The sequence below is a fragment of the Homo sapiens genome, chromosome 9 (genome assembly GCF_000001405.40).
Source record: "Homo sapiens chromosome 9, GRCh38.p14 Primary Assembly".
NCBI classification, from domain to species: domain Eukaryota; kingdom Metazoa; phylum Chordata; class Mammalia; order Primates; family Hominidae; genus Homo; species Homo sapiens.
The window spans coordinates 36725647-36728766 of record NC_000009.12 but is presented as its reverse complement, the minus strand read 5'-3'; the positions used below and the strand labels follow the sequence as shown (position 1 = coordinate 36728766).

Sequence of the window (3120 nt, the reverse complement as noted above, 5' to 3'; positions counted from 1 at the left end):
CAAACAAAAAATAAAAGAGCTTATCAATGAAACTTGGGTCTTTTTAAAGGGGCTGCCCCCTGACTCAACTAAATATACACAATGTATATGCTCCGACCTGAGGATGCCACTTCCAGAAATGTAGCTTACATGCACACAAGGATGTTCATTGTGGCGGTGTTGATAGTAGAGAAAAACTGGAAGCAACATAAAAATTGGAAACAACCACTACAGGACTGCTTTAATAAATGATGACACAGCCAGGCCCAGTGGCTCATGCCTGCAATCTCAACACTTTGGGAGGCCAAGGCAGGTGGATCACTTGAGGTTAGGAGTTCAAGACTAGCCTGGCCAACCTGGTGAAACCTCATCTCTACTAAAAATACAAAAATTAGCCGGGCGTGGTGGCGGCGACCTGTAATCCCAGCTACTCAGGAGTCTAAGGCTGGAGAATCGCTTGAACCCAGGAGGCAGAGGTTGCAGTGAGCCAAGGTCACACCATTGCACTTCAGCCAGGGCAACAGAGTGAGACTCTGTCTCAATAAATAAATAAATAATGACATATCTGTTTTGTGGAATACTGTATAATCATTAAAAATAAATTTTTAGAAGAATATGTATAAAGAAAAAAATTATGCTAGAAAACTGAGGAAATAATACATATTGTACATTCCTAATATTTTAAAATTCCTTGTGCATATAAAATATAATTTGTGGTTCCAGAGGTACTCACTATTTAGTACTAATTTTCTATATATGTATTTTTTAAAATTAGACCTTACAATATTAAAATAAATATATTAATTTTAAATTAAATATATACATAGTTTTATATACACACACACGCACACACATGCACATGCACGCACACACGCACACACACACGCTTAGACCTTAGACCTGGGTAAGTGTGGTCCATGCCTTAGATCCCACAATTCAAAGTGTTCGGCATTTCATAAACACACATAGGCAAATAGTTATTATGAAGACAGTCACTTCTGTTACTTGCGACCTGGTGTTCAGTGCTGCATAGCGTAACCCTAAACATTAACTTGGGACTAACATCATCAAGACCCAGGAGATGTGTCTCCAGGTCTTGTCCTCTGTCTTTGAGACAAAAGGGACTGAATCCCAATGCCACAACACCACGTGGGCTGTGCTGTGGCTGACATCAGAGATGGACGACGCTTCAGAGTACAGGGAAAATTTGAGCAGTGGACGTGCTTAAGCATGTAAGAGAATAGACAAATTAATTTGTCAAACACTTCCTCTCAGGTAGCGTGGAATGCAACATTTTCTTACATAACAAAGTATAGTCTCCCAGCAGTGCCAAGTGTCCATTTCCTTGCTTTTCTTCATGTTCTAATTCATGGTTCCAGAGGAACCTAACAGCTGAAGACTATTCTGCAATAGCAAACGATTCATTGCACTCTTAAATTTCCCTGCGTGTAGGTCCAGACATAATATGTATGAAGTATATCAGTTCTTTACATTGACAACTATAGACCCTGGATCCTGGCCATTCAAATAGCATAGAGTTTTGCTATTTTTAATACCTAATGGAATGTAATCAAACGTTTTTAAAAAATTTTAATGTCTGCTTTACAGAAATAATTTTCATCTAAATTTTTAAGATTTACTCATTGTAATTTGAGTTTTGCCTTTTGGTCTTGACAGATAATTTTGAATGTTTCAGAAGAAAATCTTTCTTAGAAAAAATGATTTAAATATTAAATATTTAAACATATGGTATGTGGAACTCCAATTGTACCCTTGCCCTGGGCCCTTCAAATGTAAGATCTAGGCCTGTGTTTAGAACACAGATTCTAATAGAAAATACACCAGAATGTCAAAGGAAGTTGACTCTAGATTATTGGATTGCTGTGATTTTTATTTTATTCTTTTGGATTTTTGTCTATGTTTCTAGATTTTCTAGTATTTATCTAGTCATAAAAAAATGATAAATATATATTTTCAAGTGTCGCATCAGCCCCCAGCCTCCTCCCGACGTGAAATGACTTTCTACCCTCAACCAGGGTCCTGGGACAGGTATCTAATTCTGCCCTCATCCCCATGACCACTCCAGACTTTCAGCAGGAGGGACCCCAGGGGTAGCTCCTCCCTTGGCCCACACTGAGCACTTCCCCCCTTAGCTGGCACCACAAGGCTTCAAGGCTTCACATAATGAGGTACAGAAAGCGGGCCCTCGATGCTCTGTGGATCACGCTCTAAACAAACAGTATTCTCAGCCTTGGGTTTCCCACCCTCCTGCCCCACCCCCGCGAGCATTTAACTTAGTGCTGCTTTCAGGACTAGGTAGAAACTGGCCGCCCTCCCTGGAGTCTGTGCTGACCTCACATCGTCCACAACAGGGTAGAAATGCCCCACCAGCTGACCTTTCAGAAGCCTCCTCTGGAGGCTAATCGGGCACACTGGGTGGGGGAAGGTGCCGTCATGGTTCCACGGACTGGTTCTGAGGCCTAGCAAATGGAATTTTCCCACATAGGGAACCCACAATGAAGGGGAAAACTGCATGTGTCCCTTTGTGAAAAACTAGTAGGAACAAAGATGGAGAAGGCAGGACGTTCTCCCTGGCTCCCATTCAGGCCCAGCAGTGCTCTGCAAGGAGTGTAACCTGACACCTGGAGCTTCCCCTGCCTATCCCACCCCAAGCACCACTCCCACCCATCCCAGTCTGGCAGTGAGTGGCACTCACCAAGGGAGAGTTGCATTCCCTTGGCAGACCATATATCCAGAAGGAAGCCCTTCCTGCAATTGGGAGAGGGGGACTTGGCCACCATGGGGGACCCAACAGAGTCCCTGAAGGTTGAAGCCAGGAAGGCCTCAGAGCTAGAATCAATCCCCCTGTTCACACCAGAGACACAGAAAGCACAACTGACTGGCCCCAGGTCCCAGAGCAATCATGTGACCATGTAAACCAAGAATTTTCTCTTCTGGCACCCCATACAGCCTGGAACTCTCCCTCACATCTGACATTTTAAATTGAACATAGGATACCTGCCACAGTCTTCAAGGAGACATACTTAGACCTCAGGAGTTTTTGGAAAAGTGTCTCCACCCAGAAGCCTGCACTGAGCTGCAAATTGAGCAGTGGCAGAGGCTTTAATGGCCTTATTCACC

General features: G+C 43.2%; 1 annotated feature.

The window, feature by feature from the left end:
* Positions 2332 to 2833: an enhancer, noted in NCBI's record as "H3K4me1 hESC enhancer chr9:36725931-36726432 (GRCh37/hg19 assembly coordinates)". NCBI's record gives its function as "activates a minimal SCP1, AML or CMV promoter by ChIP-STARR-seq in naive H9 embryonic stem cells {active_cell/tissue: H9 hESC(naive)}" and the evidence as "EXISTENCE:reporter gene assay evidence [ECO:0000049][PMID:30033119]".